The 27,560-nt window shown below is 44.4% G+C and overlaps 1 long non-coding RNA gene across 1 annotated transcript, besides 4 other annotated features; it reads left to right on the top strand.

The window, feature by feature from the left end:
- On the top strand, positions 11,823 to 26,994 carry LOC124904557 (uncharacterized). Its single transcript, XR_007066954.1, has 3 exons — positions 11,823 to 12,491; positions 25,809 to 25,918; positions 26,659 to 26,994. It is a non-coding gene; the product is annotated as an uncharacterized LOC124904557 (long non-coding RNA).
- Positions 20,226 to 20,971: an enhancer, noted in NCBI's record as "H3K27ac-H3K4me1 hESC enhancer chr1:234920999-234921744 (GRCh37/hg19 assembly coordinates)". NCBI's record gives its function as "activates a minimal SCP1, AML or CMV promoter by ChIP-STARR-seq in primed H9 embryonic stem cells {active_cell/tissue: H9 hESC(primed)}" and the evidence as "EXISTENCE:reporter gene assay evidence [ECO:0000049][PMID:30033119]".
- Positions 24,960 to 25,563: an enhancer, noted in NCBI's record as "H3K27ac-H3K4me1 hESC enhancer chr1:234916407-234917010 (GRCh37/hg19 assembly coordinates)". NCBI's record gives its function as "activates a minimal SCP1, AML or CMV promoter by ChIP-STARR-seq in naive H9 embryonic stem cells {active_cell/tissue: H9 hESC(naive)}" and the evidence as "EXISTENCE:reporter gene assay evidence [ECO:0000049][PMID:30033119]".
- Positions 25,564 to 26,169: an enhancer, noted in NCBI's record as "OCT4-H3K27ac-H3K4me1 hESC enhancer chr1:234915801-234916406 (GRCh37/hg19 assembly coordinates)". NCBI's record gives its function as "activates a minimal SCP1, AML or CMV promoter by ChIP-STARR-seq in primed H9 embryonic stem cells {active_cell/tissue: H9 hESC(primed)}" and the evidence as "EXISTENCE:reporter gene assay evidence [ECO:0000049][PMID:30033119]".
- Positions 26,632 to 26,830: a silencer, noted in NCBI's record as "fragment chr1:234915140-234915338 (GRCh37/hg19 assembly coordinates)". NCBI's record gives its function as "represses an EF-1alpha promoter that drives an FKBP-Casp9 reporter gene in an ReSE screen in K562 erythroleukemia cells {active_cell/tissue: K562}" and the evidence as "EXISTENCE:reporter gene assay evidence [ECO:0000049][PMID:32094911]".
- Positions 26,995 to 27,560: the final 566 nt, after the last annotated feature.

Here is a 27,560-nt window from a genome sequence, read left to right as displayed (position 1 = left end):
GGCATAGAGGGAAGAGCCAGCCCTGCCCCCGCCCCTGCCCACTATGGTCTCAGGATTCACTCCTTGCTGAAGCCTTTACAGGGGAGCCAAACGCCCTCTCACCCAAGGCCCTTCCAAGGCCCTCCCACATCCTTTGGGTGAATCAGTTTCAGGAGCACCCATTTGAGGGAAAACTTCGTCCCCAGGAGAAATGGCAACGGAGAGGTGAAGGGGTGGAGGTACGCTTTGGAGCAGGGCCAAGGCACATGGGGGTGGGCTCCAGCCTCGAGCCTGTCCTTCTCCATGATCCTGAACATGACTCTTCTGGAACCTGGCCGGAAGTTGCCCCTCAGGAGACAGCGGGGGAAGGAAGTTGTGGTCCAGAAACTCCAGAATGCAGGGTGCCCTTCCCATTCAATCACGGAGGCTGGTCCAGGCCAAGAGCATCCTCGGCCTTTGTTTAAGCTCCCGTGAGTTCTTGGTTGACCTGGAGAGGCTGAGAGAGGCCCACAGGACCTCTTTCCTTCTGACCCTTCATTGCCTTTGGATCCAGCTCACCTCAGTGCAAGCCTGTGGCCTGCAGGGGAGGCCCTGAGGTAGAGGCACTCAGCCCTGATACCGTGAGGGACCCTTGAAAGTCTGTGCTCTTGTTTATGGTCTCAAAGACAAGAGGCCAAATTCCTCAGCTGACATTTTTACTGTCAGGACGTGCCAATGTTGTTCACTTTTTGTTTTGCTTTGCTGATGATTGTCTGGCACCTTGAGATGATGCTGAGTATGCCAGGCTATAGGGTGGAGATGTGGGTGGGAGCAGGCAACAGACTGGCCCTGATCTTCCAGAGCTGATCACATTCTCTGACGTCAGCTCTCTCTGTTCATGTCCTTTGAAGGGCAATGGACTCCGTGAGGGGAGACCCGAAGTCTGTGAATGCCCAGCTTCTGAGATACCGTCAATACTGTTGACTGCATGGATGGATGAATTGCAAGTGAGTTGTTGAACACAGTGGCAAGGAGGCTCCTTACTAGCTTGGAACCCCCTCCTCCGGCAGGGAAAGTGATTACCAACCTGGAGGTCAGCCAGGCCAAGAGGGCTTTGAGATCTACAACACCATCTCCATCTACTGGGTTTGGGTTACATGTTTTAAGTGGCTCAAGCTTCCTCTGAAATCATAGCAATAGCAATGAATGATGTCCCATCAGGCACTGCCCTGGTTTTTTTGCACACACTATCTTTCATCCCTATAAGGACGATGTGGGATGGCCATTGTCATGTTCCTTTCACAGAGGTGAAAATTAACACTCAGAGAGAGTAGGCATCTTGCTCAAGGCTAGAATGGGGTAAAGCCATTCATTTAATTTATTTATTCAACAAATATTCATTGCCAACCTGCTATAGGCCAAGCCCCTGGCACTATTCCAGGTATCGGGAGAATAGCAGTGAGCAAAATGGACGAGAATTCCTGCTCTCCAGGAGCTTCACTTCTAATGGGGGAAGCAGAGCAACACACAAGATAAAATACACAGCATGCCAGCGGTTGTTAAGTGCCAAGGAGGAAAAGTGGAGAAGGTGGAGGGGAAGGGCTGGTGGGCAGAGGGATATGCCTACTGCTGAGGAAGCTCCCACCATGAAGGTGACATTTGCAAACAAACCTGAAGGAGGTGGAAGACTGGCCAGGCAGAGACCTCCGGGAAGAGGGGCTAGGCCCAGACCCAAGCATGAGGGTGGCCAGAGTGTTCTGGAAACACGAAGACCAGCGCTGCTGCAGGTGGGAGGGGATGTGGGGAAGATAAGATGAGACAGAGTAAGGGTGTGTTGGGGGGTGACAGATTATGGAGGGCCCCAGAGGCCATCCTGAGGATACAGGAGCCATTCTTTGAGCAGAGAAGTGACATAGTCCAATTTCAGTTTCTGCAGGGTCCTTCTGGGCTCTAGGCTGAGAGTGGACTGAGGGATGAGGGTGGAGTCAGGGGCATGGATTAGGAGGCTATGGCTAGTCCAGGCAAGGGGGATGGCAGTCTAAATCAGGGCAGCAGCAGAGTCAGGTTTTGGAAATGTTTTGAAAATAGAGCCAGTAGGATTTGCCAACATTGGCAAAGATTGGATGTGAGGTGCCAGACCAAGTGTTGTCCTCAGCAACTGGGAAAAAAGAGTTAACGTTCTGCATTAGGCTGTTCCAGCATTGCCATAAAGAAATACCAGAGACTGGGAAGTCTATAAAGAACAGAGGTTTAATTGGCTCACGGTTCTGCAGGCTGTACAGGAAGCATGGTGCTGGCATCTGCTTTCCTTCTGGGGAGGCCTCAGGAAGCTTCCAATCATGGTGGAAGGCAGAGGGAGAGTGGGCATGTCACATGGCCAGAGCAGGAGCAAGACAGCAAGGGGGGAGGTGCCACACACTTTTAAACAACCAGATCTCATGAGAACTCTCTCTCTATCTGCAGGATGGCACCAAGAGAGATGGTGCTAAACCATTCATGAGAAATCTGCCCCCATGATACAATCGCCTCCCACCAGGCCCCACCTCCAACATTGGGGATTACAGTGAACATGAGATCTGAGTGGGGACACAGATACAAACCATATCATGTTCCCTGAGATAGGATGGCTGGGGGTTGGGGGTGAACAGTATTTGGGAGGGAAAATCAGGGACTCTGTTTTGGACACAATCCATTGGAGTTGCAGGTAGACATTCCAGTGGAGAAGACAAGTGGCTGGCTGGCTCTCTGAGCCTGGAGTTGAGGGGGTGATGTGGGCTGGAGATTGGACTTTGGCATCATCAGTGTTGGTGAGGCAGCTACAATCATGACTCTGGATGAGCTCATTGATGGGGGCAGCAAGTGTGGACAGAGAAGCAGGAGGTCTGAAGACTGAGGTCTGAGGTGTTTGGGGAGAAGAGGAGGAACCTGCAAAGGAGATAGGGAGCAAGCAAGGAGGCAGGAGGAGAGCCGGGCAGGTGGGCTGCAGCCAAGCAAGGAGAGGGGGAGGAGGAAGGGGGGAAGGGGAAAGGCGGGGAGTGGGAAGAGGGTAGGAGGGGGAGGAGGAGAGGGGGAAGAGGAGAGTAGGGGGAGTAGGGGTAGGAGGAGAAGGGGAGGAAGGGGAGGAGGAGGGGGGAAGGGGGTGAGGGAGAGGAAGGGGAGGAAAGGAGGGGTAAGGGGGGAGGAGGAGAGGGGAAGAGGGGAGAAGGAGTGAAATATACCTGTCGTGGGATTTGACCTATATTAGAGAATCACTGTGCAGTGCACCAAGCGGCACTGGAGAAGTCATCCCCGAAATAAATTGGATTGTGTGACAAGAGATGGGTTCAGCAGATGCAACTGACAGGGAGGAGGGAAACTGGACCAGCCTTGGCTGTGGATTGGCTGCGCGATCTTGGACAAATCACCCATCATGCTTTCCTTCCGTGTTACGTGGAAATGTCTCTGATATCTGCTGCCCTTACCTCACAGAGTAAAGACCCAAAGGAGATGTCATGAAAGCATTTCGAAATGCTGCTGAACACTCAGCACAGTGGCTGGCACAGACTGGGTAGAACTCAATGGTTGGAAAATGTACTTGGCTGTTATTGTGCCTTTTTCATGAAAATATGAAAAGCTAAATAAACCTGAAACATGTTGGGGACTGAGTGAGGGGAGATGAGCACGTTCTGAGAGTCCTAGGACCATGCACTCTTAGAGAGTGCCTTTGCTATTGTTTCGCCTCCCGTCCTACAGAGGAAGGGCTTAGGTTTGCTGTGAATTTCCCCCTTGCCTACCAGCATTGCGCCAATTAAGGTTTCTACTTCACTGCACGTTTCAGCCAAGGATGTCAAGGGAATCCACTGCTGCTCCAGTGAGACAAATAACATATCCAGCATCAACACTGCCATCATCATTAGCATCATTGTGGCCATTAGGATGGTTGGCAAGGCAATAGGTTGGCACTACTGATGGGCAGCACCATTAGTCTTCTTAGTGATTTTTCAAAATGGACAGTCTGGAGCTAAAAGCGTGAGCCCTGGAGGAGCTCATTTCATCAGACCTGCTGCAGGCAAACACTCTTCTCTTCATACCTTTCCCCCCTGTACGTGTGGGGTGATGACTGTCTTGGGAGGAAATATAGATGCAGTGCCTAGATATTCCAAAGCCCAGGTTCGGAACCTGTGTTCCCTTTGTTTTTTGATATTTCCCCTCCTTTCCTCCTGCCCTTTAGATCTTGTGCATTTGTGGGTTTTTCCCTTTCTGCTCAGCTCTGATCACTTATTTGCTTTTGTTTTCGGAGAGCTGTGTCCTCTCTTTACTCACCCACCTGCTTCATTAGAGATTGCTACTCACCTGCAGTATCCATGCTCACCTTCTTCCACGATAATTGAAAGAGTGTCCGGCACACGGCTGTCTACTTAAAAACTGCTTTCCCTAGTATCCCTTGCAGGCTGGTGTGGTCATGGGACTAATTTCTGCAAGAAGAGTTTGAGCTTCAGTGTGGTGTGACTTCTGGACCTTTGAAAAGAGGGGTTTATTCCTTCCATTCTCCCACCTTTCTCTTCCTTCCTCCTTGTTGGAGTGTGGCTATCTTGGTGATGGTGAACCATCTTGGACCACATGGATGAGGGCCACACACTCAGGATGCTGGAGCAACAAGGTGGAAGGTACCTGGGTCTCGACTGCCCACCCTTGTGAAAGGTAAATGCAGTTCCATCTTATCTGAACCCTAGTATTTTGAGGTTCTGTTAGAATTGCTGCACCTGTATTCTAACTAATGCCTTCTTTAGGCTCTTTGACCCACTTGCCAGATTGCAGGTTGCAGGAAGACAGAACATGGTTTTGCTCACCATTAGGTCATCAGGGCTGGCACAGATTGCTCAACACATAATAAATACTTGTTGGAAGTGTTAATGAGTTATGGTTTTACTCTGGTATCTGGACTTCTGCTTTCCAAAGGATGAGTGGCCCTTGACGCATTGTTCCCTTGGGCAACTGCAGCCTCTGTCATGGGCCAAGTATGGAATGTCCCTGGGAAATAAAATCTCAGAGGAAGAGAGCTCCTGCCCAGCCGAAATTCTCCCTGGAATTGTGAGCCTCCAATTAGGCTAGAAGATACAGTCTTCCCATCTGTTGTAGAAACAGAAAGTTATTTAGAGTATAAAACAATCTCCCGGCTTCATGTGTGAAGCCTATTTGAGAGTCAGAGGGTTCCAGCAGAGGGAGGAGGATCATCAGCTACACCTGGAGCTCTGGGGATGAAAGAACCCATGAGGGCCTCATAGATTATAGGGCTCTGACTCCTCCAGGGAAAGATGATCCAGTGTTCTGGCCTATCTTGGCCTGTGGTTCTTTGTGATCCATGGAGTGAGAGTGTCCACAATCGCCTGCTGTGTGGTATTTCCCTGACTTGAGCCTTTGCTCATAACCAGCATAGCCCACAAACACCAGCCGTATCCCTCAATTCCTGACTTCTGCTTTCCCGTCTTTACAGAAGAACCCCAGCTGTGCTAATGGTCCTGTAACCTCTCAGCTCAGGGCCATGAGACCTTCTCTCTGCATGAATCTCGCCTCCTCTGCACCCCACACTTCCACACCACTTCCTCATAAAACGTGTTATCTGACTACACAACCCTGGAAATGATGTTCCTCCTGATGTGTTCCCAAGCATTCTTGCTATTCTGCTTCCTCTAGAAGCCAGGGAACTTTAGCTGACCAGGTCTGTGTCTTGGGCACCTGCCTTGGTGAGCGACCTCTGAGAATTTCTCACTAAACATTTGTTGAATGAACTAGGAGATATATAAGGGAATGCCTCTTCTGCCTACCATGAGCATGGCCTTAAGTGTTATCTTTGTTGCTTGGCCAAGTCAGGGCCTTGAGTCCCAAGTGAGGTGCCCAGCCCTTATTCCTGATCAATAAATACTTTTAGACTCCTGATTATTCTCTTGCTTGCTTGCTTGCTAATCTCTAATAGATTAGATCTATTCCCTAATCTAATTCTCTGATCTTCCTCCTGAAACTTGGCTCCATATTGAGTTCCTTGCCCTATATCCGTACTTGCACGGCCGCTATTTGCCACCCAGAGTCCCCGTGCTGGCAAATTCAACACCCGGAGCATTATCATTTTGGTGCAATTCCTGAGCACAGCTTGCTGACTCTTCGGTACTTATTGTTTCTATCTGGAATACAAGAGGGAGTATATTATGAGGATGATGGTAAACCCAGATCATGGTGCTCAGAGCAGATCTGAAACTCTGGCAGCGTAACACCTCTCTCCAGCATGGACAGATAAGGGTGATTATTATTTAGTTAGACTTTTCATTTTGAGAGAAATCGTAGGTTCACATGCAAATGTAAGAAATGATGTGGAGATCTATGTACCTTTTATACAGTTTCTCCCAAAGGTAATACCTTCAAAACTATTGTATGATTTCACAAACAGGACACTGACATTGATAGAGTCCAGATTCAGAACATGTCCGTCATCACCAAGGTCCCTCACGTTGCCCTTTTGTGGCCGCACCTGCGTCCTCTTACTCTCCCCATCTCTGCCCCATCTTTAACTCCTGACAACTACTAAACTGTTCTTTGTATAACTACTAAACTGTTCTTTGTATAACTACTAAACTGTTCTTTGTATAACTAAAGTTATAATTTTGTCATGTCAAGAATTTCATATGAATGGAATTACACAGCATGCAACCTTGACTTTTCTTACTCAGCACAACCGTCTGGAGGTTCACCCAGGTTGTGGCATGTGTCAATAGTTTTCTCTTTTGTTGCTGAGTAGTATTGCATGATAGAGATGTACTGCAGTTTGTTTAACCACTCACCTTCCACCTGAAGGGCAGCTGGTTTTTTCCACTTTGGGGGGATTACAAACAAAGCTGCTGCAGACATTCACATGTGGGTTTTTGTGTGAACCTAAGTTTTTTTTTTTTTTTTTTTTTCCTGGGATGAATGCTCAGGAGTGCATGCCAGGTTGCACAGGCCTTGCATGTTTAGTTTTATAAGAAACTGTCAGACTGTTTTCTAGAGTGATTGCACCATTTTACATTCTCACCAACAATGTATGAGGGATCCAGTTTCTCCATATCCTTGCCAGCATTTGTGGTTGTCACTCTTTTAGCCATTCAATAGTCATGTAATGATATCTCATTGTGGTTGTAATTTGTATTTTCCTAATGGCTAATGATTTTAAATTACCTCTTCATATGCTTATTTGCCACCTGTATATTTTCCTCTTCAGTTAAATATCTCTTCATGTCTTTTCTCATTTTTTCAAATTTAAAAATTCTTATTTATTTATTTTTTATTTTTTTTACTGTGGAGTTTTGAGAGTTCTTTCTATATTCTACATACTAGTCCTTTGTCAGATAGGCAGTTTGCAAATATTTTCTCCCAGTCTGTAGCTTGACTTTTCATCCTCTTAACAGGGTCTTTCATAGAGCAAATGTTTAACTTTGATGAAGTCTAATTTAACCATTTTTCCTCTTATGGCTCATGCTTTTGGCATCAAGTCTAAGAATTCCTTGCCTGGCCCTAGCTTTCAAATATTTTCTCTTTTTTTCTCTATAAGTTTTATCGTTTTATGTTTTACATATAAATCCATGATCAATTTGGAGTTAATTTCTGCATGAAGCGTGAGACTAGATTGAGGTTTATTTATTTATTTTTTGCTTATGAATATCGATTGCTTCCATACCATTTGTTGAAAAGGGTATCTTTCCTCCATTGAATTGCCTTTGTACCCTTATCTAAAGTCAGTTGGAAATTTTGCGTGGGCCTATTTCTATTAACTTCCACTGGTCTGTGTATCTATCCCTTCACTAATAGCATGTAGCCTTGATCACTGTAGCTATACAGTAAATCTTGACATTAGGTAGACTAATCTATCCCATTTCATTTTTCTTTTTCAAAATTGTTTTAGCTATTCTAGTTTCTCTGCCATTTTATATACATTTAGGATAATCTTGTCTAGATCTATGCAATAATATTGCTGGGATTTTGTTTGCAGTTATATTGACCCATATATCAAGATGGGGAGAATTGACATCTTTACTGTTGAGTCTTCTGATTCATGAATTTGTAATGCTTCTTCATGTATTTTAGCTCTTATTTGGTTTCTTTTGTAGGAATTTTAAGCACACAAGTACTGCACATATTTTGTTAGATTTACACCTACGTATTTCATTTCTCTTGAGTGACTGCAAATGGCATTGCATTTGTAATTTTGGTGTCCACTTGTTCATTGCAGTATACAGAAATAGAATTGAGTTCATGTGTTTATCTCTTATTCTGTAACATTGCTGAACTCATTAGTTCTAGGGTTTTTTTTTTTGGTTTGTTTTATAGATTCTTTGGGATTGTCTATGTTCACAATCATAGGGATGGTTTTATTTCTTCCTTTCCAAACTATCTGCTTTTATTTTATTTTCTTATTTTATTGCACTGGCAGAACTTCCAGTAGGAAGTTGAATAGGAGTGGTAGAGTGGTCATTCTTGCCTCTCCTTGATCTTACGTGGAAAGCATTCAGCCTTTCATCATCAAGTATAATGTTAGCTATAGGGTTTTATAGATGCTTTTTAGTAAGTTGAGGAAGTCCCCCTCTATTCCTATTTTTCTGAGAGGTTTTCTAATGAATGGGTGTTGAATTTTGTCAAATGGGGCAAGAGGGTGGTAATTCTTCATTATTCCTTACTGTAATTAGTCTGTCAATGTTAATGAGCATGCTATTATTAAGCACCTATTGGATGTTCAGTGTTGTGCTAGGCTCTGTGAGACATATAGGAACCTAAAAATTTGAGCCTTGCCCTCAAGCACTAAGGAAACACACTTTCTAAACCACAATTTAGCATATACCATAAGTGCTGCAGAAGGCCCCAGGCAGCGGAGGCCAGTGTTGCCCTGGCTAGAAGGTGTCACTTAGGTTGGCCTTTGGGCTGGAGTAGAACCTAGATACACAAGAGAGGGGAGTGAATTAGAGAAAATTCAACGGCCTAAAATTCTATTTTCTAACAAGGACAATGGTAAGTTGATAATTAGTAGGATAGAGATAGCTTTTGATTAATGAAGTTGGATTATCTCTATTCTGTGGATTATCCCTGACAAATGCTTAATCCTGAACTTCCTCCCTTTTTGAGCATTTGGGCTCTCTTTTCTGCCATCCGTCAACATGTTCAGGGGAATGCAAACTAATATTACTATTAGCTAAAGAAAAACATAATTAAGGAGGGCAATCTGCTGTCCCTAAATTGTATCATCTTTTCCAAACTAAATATGAGTGATATTGGTACTATCTTTTGTTTGGAGAGATCCACACCACTTCTCTCCCTCTTAAGGCTCAAGAAGAATTGACTGTGACCATGATATACACAATACATTTATTAAGCTGTCTCTCTAACAAGTTAGCTAAACACTTGGGAAGTAAGAGTAATGCCTTAGAGAATTTGGAACCCATGACATCTGATTCATTGGTATTGTCCATATTTGTACATGTTTACTCTAATATAAAGTAATAATATAATAGTGCTGTCATTTGCAAAATTAAAAATCCTGGCACATTACTCATGGGTCATGCTTTGGGTTGTCATTCTAACGGGTTTGATGGATTTGTATAGATCTGGTCCTCTATCTCACTTTGTCCTGCTGGTGACCAGTGGCTCCTCTTGGAGGCAGATGGCCAGGGTTAAGGGTGGAATCTGAGGCCGTGAGGGAGAGTGAAATTAACTGCTCCCTTCACAAGGGAATTGAACCCCTGACCTTCACCTCATTAGCACAGCACTCCAATGCAGCAATTCCTAACCTCAATTTTATATCACCCCAGGGTGTCTCCACTTATCTCAAGCGGGAGCTGCAGAATTCCTCCAACAAAATTAATTTTAATTCACCTTAATTTAAACATTAAATATGGACTATGAGGCAGCAACTTGCAGGAGTGGGGAAGAATGGCTGTTGTTAATAAATCCCACCACCACAATGCACTGTTATCCAAACACCCCAAAACACCCTCTCGAACCCACTGAGCCAAACAGTGTGGGGAGGAAGAAGTCTATAAGTAAGCAGCAGGCATGAAAGGCTTTTAAATTGCGGGGGAAGCAACACCCAACCCTACCAAACATCTGCATTTCATAGAGACTGTTTCATGTGGTCAGCTGGGGTGCACTCTGACATTCCCTGGGCCAGATGGACATATTTCAGCTCCCGTCCAGGCAGCCCATCCCTTTTTCCTCCTAGGGACTGTGATGCTTTGCATAGTCCCAGGAATTTGCTGCAGGAACATTTTGTGATTTACTAAGAAAATAAATTGGTCTTTGTTGCTGGGGCTTTCTCCTGGGTCAATACAAAAGATTCATCACCTCCATGCCGGCCCACGGAGAGGTTGGCTCAAAGGATTCTCTGGCCACTGGCTTATTCTGGAGACAAGCAGAGTCCCAGCAGAACCTTTGCAGGGTAGGCCAGCAGCCTGAGTGTAAGGCAGGGGAAGTAACCGTAGGAATCAGTTATTGATGAACATCCTTAAAACTCTGATTGTTTGTTTGTTTGTTTGTTTGTTTTGAGATGAGTCTCACTCTGTCGCCCAGGCTGGAGTGCAGTGACGCGATCTCGGCTCACTGCAAGCTCCTCCTTCCAGGTTCACACCATTCTGCCACCTCAGCCTCCCGAGTAGCTGGGACTACAGGCGCCCGCCACCATGGCCAGCTAATTCTTTTTTGTGTTTTTAGTAGAGACTGGGTTTCACCGTGTTAGCCAGGATGGTCTTGATCTCCTGACCTCATGATCCACCGGCCTTGGCCTCCCAAAGTGCTGGGATTACAGGCGTGGGCCACCGCGCCCGGCCGAACATCCTTAAAACTCTTCATGGTCGTTTACTGATAACAACATCCACATGCATTTTTTAAAGGAGAATAAGCATAGTTCCTTACCCTGGCAGTGCACTTTATATAATTTGTCAAAGAGTTTCACATGCATTGTATCTCAATTGTTCTCTACCTACCCAGAATTACCAACTTCATTTTATTGAAGAGCAAATAGACTTGGAAAAGTTAAATGCCTTGCCCAAGGTCGCATAGCTAGTAAATCATGGTTGTAGCACCAGATCCCATGTCTTCTCATATACTGCACCCTTTTCTCTATACTAATCTTATCTTGGTTTATTATCAACATCCATTTGCTTTTGGCAGGGAAGGGTCCAGAATCTTCATTTTACAGAACAACGAATTGAGGTAAGTAAGCGTTTTGGGTCCTGCCTCTTTTTCTGCTGGCACCATGTGCCTTTCTTGCTGAAGGGCAAGGAGTTCTTTTGCAGGCACACTCATTTCTGCTCTCAGAGGCCAGGCTCTCAACCATCATCATCAGTGCCATCCTGCTCATTGGGCCCCACCCTGCCCTCTGTGTCCAGTGGGGGCTTGCATCTGTGATTTCTGGGCAGTGAGGGGGTCATACGTGAACAGTTCCTTCGCATCCTCTTAAAATTGCTCTTTCAGCTCCATAAGTTTCAACTAGTCAAAACACTCTCCTTCACACTTCTTCAAAGATGAGCATTTGTTCTACATATTTTTTTGTAGTCATATTCTGCGAGTGCACACTTTCCCTCTTGGGTCCTTAGACACACCCTTTTCCAGGCATGATTCACTTCCTCAAGCTCCATTCTGGATACATACATCTGGTGCCACCTGGAAGAGGGCTTATCAGGTCCTCCCACCTGGAATACAGCTTAACCAGAGTTGATTTCTAAGGCATGCAACCAAGAAACCAGACTGATATAAATGGGATATTATTGATTTTATCTGCCTAACCGAGTCTATAAATTTCTGAAAGCCATGGAAGGAACTCTATTTTGTTGCATTCCTCATAATATCTAGAACGGTGCTTTGCATATACTGAGTGCTCAAGGCATATTTGCAGATGGTGACGAGGATGATTTGATGTCGTTTTAAAGGCCGGACATCCAAGAGGAGGTCTGTTCTCTACATGTGCATGCACGTACACTTACACACACTCTCTGACTTGTAAGATGCCCTTTGCAAGAGTCCATTTGGGAAATGCAGTGGGCCCACTGGAAGAAATTCAAGGCCATGGGCCAGCTACACCACGGAAGCCCTACACCCAGCCAAACGTGCTCACTGGCAAGTCAAACCCAAAAGCTGTCATCAAATTCTGCTTCCTGGCAGCCCTGATCCAACAATACTCTGAAAGACAAAAGAAGCAGAAACTCAAGTGAAGATCACCAACGTGTCTTTTTGGGCAACTAGCAGATTGAGCAGAGGGTCAGCACAGACACCAGCAGAGAAGAACATTCTCCTGGCAGGACTCTGCCTCCAAATTCGGCACCACTTCACAGGATCTCAGCCTCACACCTTATGGGATTTATTTTTTTAAAAAAGATCCAACATTTGTTCCTAATTATTCTTAGTAAAACTGCCTTTCTTGATGTGGCACCCATTACCTCATTCATTCAGTCACTCATTCATTCATTCAATGAAACCCCTGTCATCCACGCTCTGGGCTCTTTCTACAGCCCCACGACATGATCAAGAACTCTGGAAAACAGGTAAGCCATTATCATCAGTGTATATGAAATTATCATCAGTGTATACGAAATATGAAGAAACCCAATTAGATGGAGATATCTCCTACCACACATTGAAATCAGAACTCAGACAAGACTCAGATGTTCTAACTCCAAATTCTGAGCAGTGGCCCCTGGATAAAGGATTATGGAGAAATACTGACCAGAAAAAATACTCTTAAATGGCATATTGTGGTGTTTTAAGGCAAGGTTATTGGTAGTGCTTGTAACTCTCAAAATACTGTTTTGGAAGTTTGTAGTGATTTTGCAGAACGGCTTTGAGTTACCTCTGGGTGTTATCAATCATTGGATAGTTTTCAAAAGAAATCCACCTTAATTTGAGTTAAATAATATGTCATTTAGCCAGATTTCCTCCTGCCCCCAATCCCCATAGGAGTGAGAAGCCATGGCTTGGGGCATTATCTCAGCATCATGGGAATTGCAGAGAGGGTACCACAGCTTTAGAGTTTGAGGTGTTGAGCCTGAACAAAAGGAAAGGGTAAGAAACTTGGGGTGGATAGAACGTGGAACTACTATGAAGAGCTTATTGCATAGAAAAAGAGAAATTTGAGTTAAAAAAAAAAAAATGGAAGAAAGTAAAGGGAGCCCAAATGGGAACAGTTACCAGAGGAGATTCCCTGGAATTTGAAGGAACCAGGTTGAAGGATGGTTTCCCAATTTGAATAATTATAAGAATCACCTGGTACTCTTTTTAAAACTATAAGTTCCTAGAGCCCCAGTCTTAGACATTGCATTTAGCGTGTCTGGGTTGAGGCCCAGAAATCTGTATTTTTAACAGAAACCCAGGTGATTTTTATAATCAGGAAAGATTTGGGCAATGTCTGCATTTGAAGATGCTGTCTCTCAAAATGAAGAAATACCTGGACAAAGCCAAGTCCAAGACAGGGGCTCTAAGTCAAAAAGGCAAGAGCAAAAACAACATGAGCCTTTACAAAATGTGAATTGGCAAAAAAGCAGCTGTAGCTCATATTTAATAACCTCCCATGGCTTCCAGAGAAGCAGCTGGGTCTGCAGAGTCCTGTTTGTGCACAGGATGAATGGAGTCTGTGTGCCACTCGGGATGCCCCCACAATACCCACATTATCACTGAGGTGCTCCAGCGAGGCATTCATTATGCACTCCCCTGCCACCCAAAGCCTCAGGTCAGGTTTGCCTTGGACACTCTCCCTTCTCCCTTCTCTGAGGCTGAGGGGCTGCAGGGGCGGGTGCCTGAACTCCCTCCCTCTCTCAGGGATGCCTCAGCTCTATGGGACTTCCTCTGGATCACATGATTGCATTTTCCTGCCTTGGGGCACCCTAAAGGCCTGCCTCTGGGAAGCAGGGTCTAGAGGCATGAGCTTGTCTGGACAACAGAAGCTCAATCTCAGCATCCTAAAGGCCTGCCTCTGGGAAGGGGGGGGTCACAGAGGCATGAACTTGTCTGGACAACAGAAGCTCAATCTCCATCTCCAAGCAGTTCGATCCCCCAACACTCTTGGCATTAGGAGGGGAGCCTCTGCAAGTGTGAGGACCGGGGGCCTCTAAACACGGTTTTTTTCTTTTTCTTTTTTTCTTGAGATGGAGTCTTGCTCTGTTGTCCAAGCTGGAGTGCAGTGGTACCATCTCCACTCACTGCAACCTCTGCCTCCTGGGTTCAAGAGATTTCTGGCTAATTTTTGTATTTTTAGTAGAGACGGGGTTTCACCATGTTGGCCAGGCTGGTCTCAAACTCCTGACCTCAAGTGATCTGCCCACCTCGGTCTCCCAAAGTGCTAGTATTAAAGGCGTGAGCCACCACACCAAGCCCTAAACACAGCCTGAGGCTGGTATCCCAGGAGGCCTTGAAAAATCTCAGGTTTGCTGCTGACAGGTGTGCCAGGAAGAGACCTGGCTGCTGTCTGCAAGTGGCCAAACCCTGATAATCCCGGAAATAAACAATAAAATAAACTCCTCAATGGTGATTATAAAGTACTATTGTTTATCAGCCAGGACCTGTGCTAAGCTTTTCACCTACATTATTTCATTTATATTTCAGAGCAATCCTTTGAAGCAGTCATGTTTATATCAGTTTTATGGATGAGGTCAGAGACTTCTGCTGGTTAAGTACCTTGCCACTATCACACAGCTAGCTAGTAAATAAACTTTAAAAAATTGAAGTATTATGTACATAAAGACAGGCATAGTGTACAACTAAGTGGGTTATCATAAAAGTGAACATACCTGTGTAACCATCCACCCAAATCAAGAGCTAGACTATTACCAGCCTCAGAAAAATCCCAGACCCTCTCCAATAACCTCCTCTTCCCCAATGGTGACCATTTTTGTCACCGAGTATTAGATGGCTAGTTTGTGAATTTTATAAAAACAGAATTCTACATTATATGTTCTTTTTGTCTGACTTTTTTCTCCACTCAGTATGACATCTGTAATGTTGATCTAATGTCATTCATGTACAAGTAGTTTGGTCATTTTTAACACTATAAAGATGTTCATAGTATGAATGTATCACAATTTATTTATACATTTTTCATTTTGCTGGTTATTTGAGTAGATTTTAATTTTGCCCCATGACAAATAATGCTACTTGGAATGATCTTGGATAGTTGACCCTTGAACAATGAGGGTCGGAGCAGTAAAAAATTCATGTATAACTTTTGGCTCTCCCAAACTTAACTACTAATAGCTTACTATTGACCAGAACCCTTACTGATGACATAAATAATTGATTAACACATATTTTGAATGTATATACTGTATTCTTACAGTAAAGTGAGCTAGAAAATAGAAAATACTTTTAAGAAAATTATAAGAATGAGAAAATATATTTACTATTCATTAAGTAAAAGTGAATCATCATAAAGGTCTTCATCCTCACCATCTTCACATTGAGTAGGCTGACGAGGAGGAGGAAGAGGAGGGATTGGTCTTGTCTCAGGGATGGCAGAGGTGGAGGAAAATCTGTGTATAAGTGGACCCACGCAGTTCAAACCCATGTTGCTCAAGGGTCACCTGTACATGTGTCTTGGTGTACATATTTCGGCATAGGATATACCAAGAAATGTAATTGATGGGTCATAAGGTGTGTGGATTTTCAGCTTTAGTAGATACTGTTTACATAGTTTTGCAAAGTGGCTGTACCAGTTCACTTTCAGCTATGAGAGTCCTGGGGGATCCACATCCTCACCAACACTTGATACTGTTGGTCTCTTTTTACTTTTGCCATCCTGATGAATGTGTTTCAGTTTGCATTTCCCTGATGACTAATGAAATTGAGCAGCTTTTCAAATGCTATTGGCCATTTGGATATCTACTGGCTTATTCAGGTCTCTTGCCTGTTTTTCTACTGGGTTTTCTGTCTTTCCAGGTGATTTGTAGGAGTTCTTTATATTTTCCGGTTATGAATCATTTGTCATTTCTATGGATTGTAAATGTCTTCTCTATGGCTTTTCTTTTCATTCTTAATAGTATCTTTTGGTGAAAAGAAGACTCAAATTTTAATGTAGTCCAATTTTTCAATGTTTTCTTTTTTGATTCTGTTTTTGTTTCTGTTATATATAAGTACAACTGACTTTGTATATTGATATTTCAATCCAAGAACCTTGCTGAATTTACTTATTAATTCTGTTAGTTTTTCTATAAATTATTTTGTATTTTCTGCATATGCAATGATATAGTCTGTCAATAATGGCAGTTTTTTTTCTTTCTATTTCTTAAAATTTTATTTGTTTTCTTGCTTTACTGCAAAGGCTAGGACCTCCAATACAATAATGAATAGAAGTGGTGATAGATAGGAAGCATCTTTCTTTTATTCTCAGTATTAGGGGAAAAGTATCAATATTTGAACATTTATATGATATTTGCTGGAGGGTTTTTTTGTAGATACTCTATCATGTTAAGGCATTTCCCTTTTAGTCATACTTTCCTAAATACTTCTTTTTTCCTTTTACTATCGCCAGGGGTTGAATTTTATCAAATGCCTTTTCTGAATCTATTGAGCTGATCAACGATTTTCTTCTTTATTCTGTTACTGTGGTAAATTACATAGACTGATTTCCGAACACTGAAATAATCTTGCATTTCTGGAAAAAAATATCATCTTGTTTGTGATGTATTGTCCTGTTTATATATTGCTGAATTCAGTTTGATAACATTTTGTTTAGGATTAGCATCCATGTTCAGGAGAAAGAAATCACCATTTTCTTTCCTTGTCAGGTATTAAGGTTATAAAGCTCTCAAAAATGAGTCAAGAAGTCATTTTTATTTTTTAGAAGAGCTTTTGTAAAGACTGATGTTATTTCATCTTTAAAGGTTTTGAAGAATTCACTGGTGAAGCCATCTGGGCCTGGAGGTTTGTTTTTGTTTTTGTTTTGGTGGAAAGGTTTTTCATTATGGATTTTATTTCTTTAATAGGTACAAGGCTATTATATCAGATATTCTTTTTTTATTTGGGTCAGTTTTAATAAGTTGTGTTTTCCAAAGAATTTGTCTATTTCACCTAGATTTAAACATTTATCATCATAAATTGGTTCTGAACAGCTTTTTGTCTTATTTAGGAGCCACAGATTCTATTGTTAGGGCTTCCTTTCCATTCCTGATAATATTTGGGACTCTTCTTAAAAAAAATTAATCTTATGGGCTTATCGGTTGTATTAATCTCTTTTGTTGTTTGTTTGTTTGTTTGAGATGGAGTTTCGCTCTTGTTGCCCAGGCTGGAGTGCAATGGCGTGATCTTGGTTCACTGCAACCTCAGCCTCCCAGGTTCAAACGATTCTCCTGCCTCAGCCTCCCAGGTAGCTGGGATTACAGGCGCCTGCCATCATGCCTGGCTACTTTTTTGTTTTTTTAGCAGATTTCTCCATGTCGGTCAGGCTGGTCTCAAACTCCTGACCTCAGGTGATCCGCCCCACTTTGGCCTCCCAAAGTGCTGGGATTACAGGCATGAGCCACAGCACCTGTCCCTGTATTAGTCTTTTTTAAAGACTTGTTTTTATTTTTATTTTTTCACTTTGTTGGTTTTCTTTGTTGTATTATTGTTTTCTACTTTATTAATTCCTGCTATTTATTATTTCCATTCTTATGCTATCTTAGGATTTAATATGCTGTTTTTTTAATTAAAATCTTGAGATGGAAACTTAGTTCATTGTTTCTTCATCTTTTCTTCTTTTCTTGTAAAGCATTCAAGGTTTTAAATTTCTCTTAAGCATTCTTTGGCTGCATCCCTTACATTTTGATATGTTTTAGTTTTATTACCTTTTTATTGAAATATTTCCTAATTTCCACGGTAATTCTTATTTTGACTCATGGGTTGTTTAGATATGTATTAGTTCATTTTACATCACCTTAATCCGACCAAGAACTGAGCTCTTTAAAGATGGTTCAGGCTTTCTGCAGGCTGAGTTCTTCCTGGATCACCCCTTTGTGGGGAGTCTCAACAGAAGACCAGTGGTATTTAACCCAGCTCTTCCTCCTTGCTGGGCTCTGAATTCCTTTCTGTGCCTCAGCCCCATGAGAGTCCTGGCAACTCTGCTCAACTTCTCAGTTTCCGAGCCACTGCTGGGGAATCCATGCACGCCAAGGAGAAAAGTGGCTGGCACCTCTCCGCTCACGCCTTGTTTCCGGGATCTTAGTGCCTTAGTTTCTCATTGCGTTAGTAGTTTTTTTTTTTTTTTTTAAATTCTTATTCATTTATTTAGGAGACAGAGGTCTTGCTATGTTGCTCAGGCTGGCCTCAAACTCCTGGGCTCAAGTGACCCTCCCACCTCAGCCTCCTGAGTAGCAGGGACTACAGGCTACTATTAGCTGGTGGTTTTTGATGCCTTCAAATAGATTTGAAAAAGATGTTTTGTCCACATTATCCAGTGTTCTTGGCACGAAGGGCGTCTGATAACTCAATCTATCCTTACCACCAGGGGACATCCCCTGGAACCAGGATTTAGGCACAGGTCTGTGCACACCCAGACTCCAGAGCCCACACCGCTGCGTGGCAGGGGGAGCTGCCATGTTGGAGTACAGGCCGCCAAATGCAGAGTTGAAAAGGAATGTGAAGCCCTCTTGCTCTCCAGCTCTCTTCTTCATCATCTTCATTATTCTGGATCTAGTCAAGCATTGCCATTTACCTAATCTCAGTTCTAAAATGTGTTGAACACAAATTTTCTAGTTTCTTAGTAAAATTAATCTTTTAAATCACTTACTTTCTAACGGTTGTTCACAGGGCATCTGGGACCTCTTTTTCAAGGTCACCTTCTCCTGGTCTGAAACCAAAATGAAAACAAATAGAATCCAAGTGTGCTGTAGCTCCTGACATCCCTCCGTGGGCTCGGCCAGCCCCTGCATGGAAGCCTCCACATGGGTTCACCAGGCTGTTCTTCGGGCTCTCCCAAAGTGGCTGCTTTTCCGTCAATATGAATGGCATGACTGGCCCCATCTCCCTTTTTTCTTCGGGTGCCAGGAAGCCTGGACTGTTGAGCTAACTTTACGGTCCAACCATAGCAACTATGTCAGTGTGCAGATAACTGAAGGTGCCTTTCCCTCCCTGGCTTGGCTTCTCCCTCTTACTTCTCTTCCCAAGCTCTCAATTTGCTTTATTTTTGTATATTTTACCACGATATTGTCTCTCTGTGTGTCTTTATATAAAACTTGAGTTACTCCAGTTCTGCCAATCTGTGTAATCACTTGGCATTTTTATTTGTGTTCATAATTTTCAGCCATGGAGACATTTGAAAGACAACAAAATCGATCCTGGAGAAACAGAGATGTGGGCACTATTGCAATTTATAGAATTTATTGTGAAATTGGACTTTGATGAATCTTTGCCATACATATTCTGTTGCTTAAGATTTTTTGTAACAATTTATGTGTCTATTGCTTTATGTGAAAGACGCTTTTCAAAATTAAAATCAGTAAACAGTGTTCTGTGATTAACCAGGAACAAAAGTAGATGGACAACTGCTCAATGAACATGAAACTATGAAGATCAATTTTTCTTCTAGGTCATGGACAAATTAAAGTAGTTAAGTGTTAAAAACAGAGACCATGATGTCATTCCTCATGACTACAATAGACCAATATTTAACTCTAAGCGTATTTCCTTTAAAAAAAAAAAGTTAACTACAAAAATGTAGTTAAAAGTGCTAATCTACTAATTTTTTGGTACTGTAATATTTACTGTATTATTTATTTTTCTATTTTATGGGCATAACCATCCACAGAAGGGTCAGTAAGAGAGAAATATCACTGCTTTCCTCTTCTATCCATTATTTTTGTTGTTTCGTTTCATGGCTATTACTAAAAATAATGTTGTCACAGAGAAGCAAGGTGATAAAAGGATTCTCTCTGGGGGTCAATCCATGAAGAAAGCTGGAGAAATATCTGCTGAACAGAGTTCATGGCTTCATGTTCTATCTGAGCAAGTCTCATCCTGCAGTCAGCTCTCTTGAGGCTGAGCCAGGTCTTTGCACACCTTTCCTCTGGCTGATGCTTTTAAATTCCCTCTGTCTTCGTCTCTGCTATTGGGTTCGGTCTCCTCCGTGAGTCCCCCACGGGGCCTGGTGAGGACAGGCTCTGTGGGAGCAGCTTTCTGTTTTGAGCCTGTGATGTCTGGCCAAGGAGCGCCTGTCAGCTGCTTGGGCTCCATCTCAGCCCAGAGACGTCGTGCTGTGTGGTCTTAAAGCAGGTCACTTCACCTCTAGGTATCTCTCTCTGTAAAACCCAGATAATAATACTTCCCAAATAAAGAAAGGGTTTTCTTTAAGCCCTTTGAGCTCCTCAGATGGAGCGCACCACAGAAATGCCAAATGCGGCATTGTGATCCGCGCTGCCTCCATGTGATTAGGTAATGTGAGATTGTGGTTCATTATGCTATGTCTGGAATGAATGCGAGCCCTGCCACAAAGCACTGGGAACTCTCAGTTACACAGAAACCCCATGGTAAGCTTGGATTGGCTTACACTTAAATAAAACACACCAGAAAAGAGCAGTAGTTTTGACGAACCCAGCTCTCAATTAACACTCATTTGATTTCTTCTGCTGAGTGCGGGCGATAAGTAAGAGATGACCCAGTTACAGGTGCGGGGGGGCACAACCAACACTGAGGTGACTGAGTCGGGGGAAGGGCAGCTCCTCTGCAAAATGCTTCAGGCTCCCAAGGAGGCAGGCCCAGAGTGGGCAGGTCTGGACTTACTGCTGTACAGACAAGGGGGAAATTCAATAGCTACCATTTATTGAGTTTCTGCTAGGTGCCAGGAACTCTGCAATGTATGTCATTCTTCTAAACCCTCCAGACAATGGTATTAAACCATATTAATATTCTGAAAACCAAAACAAACACCCACTACACTTGACACATTTTTTTTTTGTACCATAATGAAAGCCTATGTGTTTGGGCCCACAGTTTCAGCCAGGATTTTGACCTGGGGCCTCCTAACTGATCCTGAGGCTTTAAGACCACACAGCATGGGTCTGCGAATTGCAAATGGGAGGCTTACTTTTCCCATTCTTATCCAAGCCTCCAGAAGTGGCTCTGGAGCTAGATCCAGCCTCCTTTCTTACGAAGCCTTGGATACATCCCACTTAGCTTGACAAACTTTTACCGGAATTCTCTGATCCCATTTCACAGCTGTTGCAAAGGTAGGGTCTTGGTTGTGTCTTCCTTCAAGCTGCTTATGAACCAGGGGTGGAGACTAGGAAGTAAGGAACCCTGGAATCAGAGAAGTCAGGAGCAAGCATCTTGTTGGCTTGAGGTTCTCCAGGCACCATAAATCAAGTAGTGCGCATACTAAGAAAACAAGCTGGACAACAAGAGGAGAGCAGGAGGGTCCTTAGGATTGGCTGCTTGTACCATGGCCCCCAGTGGCTCAGTAGAGACAAGGGGAATCCCAGGTAAGTAGACTCCTTCGCTCCCCAGAGAGGAATCTATTGTGTCAATTGCTGGGAAACACGCTCAGTTGAACTGACCCTCTATAGCCGTATGTGCGTGTGGAATCCATTGTTAGGGAAACCATGGTGAGAAGGGAAGTGAGATGCTCTGGATGGGTGCTGAGCTGAGTGCTGATGGAACAGACCTTCCAGAAAAGGTTGCATATTATCCAAGGAAATATCATTGCCTGGAGAGTCCTAGGCTGACTTGCTCTCTTGGGAGCTGATGTTTAGGGAATGGGAGAAGCAGCTGGTTTAAAGCATCAAACAATGTGAAATGAACTTCAGAATCTGCCAAATCCTAAACATTTCTTGCTAAGCACCATTTTTTCTGTATTGTGAACCCATCTGTGCTTCAAAAGCAATTTTGTTTAAATGGCTTCTTCCCCTTACTCCTAATCCTTGGGAAGCTGTAATACACAGGTGGTAAAGGGGACTCCCCAAGAGATGCTCACTAGGACTGCTGTGAGCCAGATACTGGGCTGACACTGCATAGCACCGAGGGTGTGGGAGACCAGAAGTCAGGAGCCTGCATTCTCAGGGGAGGGACTGGATCCCTGCAAGGAAACAAAGTGTGGTGTGTGTGGCTTCATGATCCACTGGCCTAGGTCTAATAGCGGATCTTTTTGCAAATTTATTTTTTTCTTTTCTTTTCTTTTCTTTCTTTTCTTTTCTTTTTTCTTTTCTTTTCTTTTCTTTTCTTTTCTTTTCTTTTCTTTCTTCCTTCCTTCCTTCCTTCTTTCCTTCCTTCCCTTCTTTTTTCTTTCTTTCTTTCCTTGCTTTTTTTTTTTTTTTGATGGAGTTTTGGTCTTGTCACCCAGGCTGGAGTGCAGTGGTGTGATCTTGGCTCACTGCAACCTCTGCCTCCCGGGTTCAAGCGATTCTCCTGTCTCAGTCTCCTGAGTAGTGGGGACTACAGGCAGGCAACACCAAGCCTGGCTAATTTTGTATATTTGGTAGAGACAGGGTTTCACCATGTTGGCCAGGCTGGTCTCAAACTCCTGACTTCAGGTGATCCTGACCTTGGCTTCCCAAAGTGCTAGGATTCCAGGCGTGAGCCACCGCACCTGGCTTGCAAATTTCTATTTCTAATTGAGCCAGCATTTCTTCCCAAAGGTTCACTGGAAAATCACTGACATGAAGAAGATTGATTAATAGGAAAAAAGGCATACACATTTATTTAATGTGTATACACAGGAGCCTTCAGAATGAAGACCCAAAGATAGAGGGGAAATTGTCCACTTTTACACTTAGGTTCAAGACAGTATGGATAGTCACATAGAAATATGACTGGACAAAAAGGGTCTGATGGAATGCTAGACTAGACTGAGTAGAAAGCGCAGCAAGGCCTGTCTGCCTAGATTCTTCCAGGCATCCATGCCGCATTCCTTCCTTCTGGGTATGGGACAGGATCCTTTCTGGAGTGGGGGTCTTATGACCTACAGTCAAATAAGATAGGTTAGATGAGGTCTTTATGGCCAGTTTTTACACAGAAAGGTGGAAGGAAAGCTAGAGTTGTATTTTAGGTTTTATGGCTGGCTTTGGGGAAAAGGGGTTCTGGTTTTTATATCCGCCTTGGGGAAGAGGGATTCTGGTTTCTATGGCTGGCCTCGGGGAGAATGAGGGGCAAGAGATAGGAGGGCAGGAGAAGATCAGAGAAAAACTTTTGCTTCTGAGGCTAAGCCTTCCTTTTGGGGTATTGTTTTCTGAGTCCCAACACTTGTTATTTGGAACAACTCATTAGAATGTAGGGACTGGGGCTATGTCATGTATTAACATCTCCCAGGGAGCTGTCAGCCTCCCTCAGCAAATGCTTCCTGAATGCATGAATGAACCAATGAGTGTTGGCCATGCAAAGTCAGTAGTTTTCTGCCAACCCCATGAGTTCCACCAGTCGTCTCCAGAGATTCCTTGCAAAGAACTTGGTACTGGGGCATGTACTTATAATGTCTCCTTCTTTTTCCTTCTATTCTATCATCCTGTGTCTTGTCCAGCCTCCAGGAGTTCAGTGAGAAAGGAAACACACACACACACACTACAAAAACCAGGAGAAAAAAACCATTAAAAAATCCCACTGTAGGAAGATTCTGCTGCCTCTAGACTTTAGGAAAGCCGCTGACCTAATTCATTTGCTATGGTGGCTTTTTCATCCTCAGGACTGGTGCTGCCTGTGTAGTTCAGCCTGTGAAGGCTCCCTTTCAAGTAGGCCAGCTGCATGGTATTCTGGACTTACAATGTGCAGGGCAGATGTAGTGTCCCCTTGAAATACACTTAACGGTGGGCAACAAAATCCAAAAGCAAACCCCCACAAATATCTAACTTAAAAAAAAAGAACTTTCTAGATCTCAGTCCTCATCTGGATACTTCATTAGGATCCTGAGACATCTGGGGACCAGCGATGGAAAGAAGGAAAGAGACTTCCATATGTTGAGAGCCTATTATATGCCTGCATTGTGCTAAGCCCTTTCCCATATGTTATCCAATGTAATCCCCCACAAAAGCCCTGCCAGAGTGGAATTATTCTTCTCATTTTACAAATAAGAAAACAGTAGCTCGGAGATGCTAAGTTACTCGCCCAAGGTCACATAGACGGTAAGTGGTAGATGCTGATTTGAATCCAGACAGTGTCATTATCAAGGGGTGGTTTGGGAGGCTTTCGTTGTAACCATCATCTGTAGCAGCCCCCTTCTCCACAATTATCCCAAATAAACACACAATCTAAGTCGGAAGAGCCTACAGGAGGCAAAAATGTAGCTTCAATATGTGCTTCCCTGTCATCTCCCTTTCATTGAGATTATTGCTGCCCCAAATCCTGTCTACACAGACATTCTGGAGTCCGTACTAAATCAAGATTTGTCTGGCTGCAAAGACCATGTTCTGTCCAACACAACCAGGATGCCTCTTCTCTTAGATTCCTACCAAGAAGACCTTGCTTCTTGAAACCCTTACCTAGAAGAGCCAATGAATCAGTGTAGGATTTCCCTAATGGTGGCTGGCACCATAGGTTCCAAAATGTCACCACCAGCTCTAAGTCATCAGCCCTTTAAACGCCTCCACACATCCCGGGGTATACTGACGCGAGGAGTCACAGTGGGTAAGCATCACTAGGTTGCAGAAGCACTGGGCTAATGGTGTGGATGAGGGTTTCAATTTACTTGGAAACATCCACGGGCCAAGGTTCAGTTCATTTTAGGTTTCGACTAAGTTTTTCCAGGCTCTAAATGTAGAGAGCAGGGGTGTTTAAAGTGACTGTCCTGACACAGGCTGTTCCCTAGGGGCCACTCTAGCTTCCTTCTTGGAAGTGTGATGTGGGTCCAGAGTTCAGGCCAGCCACGGTCTTGGATTCCAGATGGGAGTTCATTTTTAGAGACCAAATGGTCATAAGTGAACATGTCATCTTGGGCTAGCTGGAAAATACAAACACCAGCCCAGAGTCCAGGAATTCAGGATTGTAAATAGGTGAAAGCACCCTTCACCTTCTCTCCTCCTTCCCTCAAGGTGGTTCACATACAACTATTAGCAATTGACATTCATAGCTCTTGTACTTCACAGTATTTTCATGCCTGGGACTCTGTTTTGATCCCTGCAAGTACAGTGTTATGATACTCCTTTTATGGATGATGAATTGGAGACACCAAGAGGTTCAGAGCTTCTTCCAAAGTCATAGAGCCAGTGAGTTGTGAAGACGAGGGGCTCAGTCTTCCGATTCATGCAAAGGGTTGATGTGACATTTTCAGAGCCTAGTTCTAGCTTCATTGTGCTGGAAAGTGGTCTTGGCCTGAGGACAGCAGGGTGCTTCAGAGTCCAGTCTGATGCCCTTTGGCAGCCACACACCCTCCTGTGAAGGCACCACAAATTCCTTGGGAGGGAGACGCGTTCCAGATGTGTATGCCGCCTCTAGAGAAAACGTGGCTTCTTCTGGTGAGCCACATGCAAGGTGTCTCGCTGGCCACTGTGAAGTGGGGAGAGACGCCTGGAGCAAGCCATGATCTCTGCCAGCACTGGAATCACCAACATCCTTGAGCTTCCTTCAGTCTGATGCAGAACCTGAGGACGTGGCCATCTCTTGGTGGTGTTCTGGGAAAGCAGGAAGTCTTCAGACCTGATTGTCTTCAGATTTCAGCCATGGGCTCCCTGGTGAGCCATCTCAGGGGTATAGGAAACATGGATGCCGCCCCGGAGGCAGCTCTCAGGTATGCATCCCCTGGTGGCCCGGGCCTCTCCGGGGCTGGTGGCTCAGGCTGGAGGGACAGGCACTGAATGAGGCTGTGTACTAGATTTCTCCCCTTTCCACATGCTGGTCTTACTGAGGCAGGTTCAGGGGGTGCTCTGAGGGACAGAATGCTGTAGGGGACAAAGAAAAAAATCCCCCTTCTTCCTCTGAAGGTTTGCTGAAAAATCAACTCACAAAAGGAGATTAATTGGAATAAAGGCATACAGATCAATATGCGCATGGGGGAGAACCGTGGAGTGATTACCCCACCATCTGCATTGAGGTATAGAAGCTTACATCCCATCCTACAGTTACAGAGAGAATGGGGGCTCAGAGCATGGCCCAAACCAGACTATGGTGGAACAGCAGGTTATGGAGGCAAGATAGGTTATTTGGGGGGAAGAAAGGGAGTCGTGGCTAACAAAGGTGATCTTGTTATGCAGAGGAAATCCCACAGATAGCAGCCCTCAAAGAGAACAGATGATAATTCTTTTTTTTTTTTTTTTTTTTTTTTTTTTTTTTTTTTTTTTTTTTTTAAGATGGAGACTTGCTCTGTCGCCCAGTCTGGAGTGCAGTGGTGCCATCTCAGCTCACTGCAACCTCCGCCTCCCGGGTTCCAGTGATTCTCCTGCCTCAGCCTACTGAGTAGCTGAGATTACAGGCATGTGTCACCATGCCTGGCTAATTTTTATATCTTTAGTAGAGATGGGTTTCACCATGTTGGCCAGGCTGGTCTCAATCTCCTGACCTCAGATGATCTGCTCATCTCGGCCTCCCAAAGTGCTGGGATTACGGGGATAATCCTTTTTTAGACCTTTAAACATGTCAGACTCTTGGTTAATCTTTCCTAGATCTGGACAAGGGAAGGTCTTGGAGAAGGCCTGATTGCATCTCTGCAGATGCAAATCTCCCCCACGAAAGACAGCTCTTCAGGGAATCTTCTGTTTGCTGGCTCTCTGAACAACCTTCTCAAAAGATGTCAATGACCTATGTTTTCTATTGAAATATTTTTATTTCTTCCAGCGCAATCTGGGATCTCAGGGGCTGACAGCAGAGAAGTTACCTGAAGGCGCAACAAGCAGTGGTCCCTGTAGGCAGAAGCTACCTGGTGCCCCAGTGATGTGGGAGGCCCTCAGTTCCTGCGCTTCTTGCTGCCTGGGCACATGTTCCCGGAGGATGGCAGGACCTCCTGGCCTCTCCCCTGTCTACCCGCCAGAGCTCTGCTTCTTAAGATAAGACCACCTCTTTCCTCCAGCCAATGTGCTGCTCTTCTGACTTCAAAACACTTGCACTTCCAGGGCTCAACGTACAGTGAGTTCTCAAGGATTCGGTGAATAAATGTACAAATGTCTCCCGTTACAGCTGCCACATTCAGTGGGGTAGGTCTTATGATCATTTCTCTGAGGAAGGGTGCTGTGCTCATGGTCTCAGTCTGCAAATTGCAGACTGAGAATCCAACGAAGGCACCTGCTCTCTGCCCCCGCACCCCCCCACCGGCCCCAAGGCTGACCCTCTCCTCCCCTGGTATCAGCTCGAAGCATTGTTGGAGTCCCCAGGGACCCGGATGCTTCCCTGTGTGCCCTGTCTTTGAGGTGCCCGCCATCTCAAGTCAAGACACACAGCAGGGTGTGAGAGGCCAGGGAGCCCATGGGAATTCCAGGGGATGCTCTCAGCGTGTTTTGTGAGGAACGACTGGCTCACCTAGTCAGGCCTGGGACAAAATATCACCTGCTGAAGGATGATTGGCTGTGGCGCTGGCCTTGTGCTGGAAGAGGGCCTCTGAGAGCACAGGGAACTGCCCCTGGGCATTTTCTCACAATTGTTCCGAGGGTTAGAGGCTGGATCCCAGGAACCGCGTGTGGCCACTCTGTCCTTCTTCAGAGAGAGATTCAACTTCCGGAGCCAGGGTCACCCCTAATGGCTCA

This window comes from Homo sapiens, chromosome 1 (assembly GCF_000001405.40).
Source record: "Homo sapiens chromosome 1, GRCh38.p14 Primary Assembly".
Classification (NCBI taxonomy): Eukaryota; Metazoa; Chordata; class Mammalia; order Primates; family Hominidae; genus Homo; species Homo sapiens.
The sequence above is the reverse complement of the archived record's forward strand: the minus strand, read 5'-3'. Positions and strand labels throughout refer to the sequence as shown.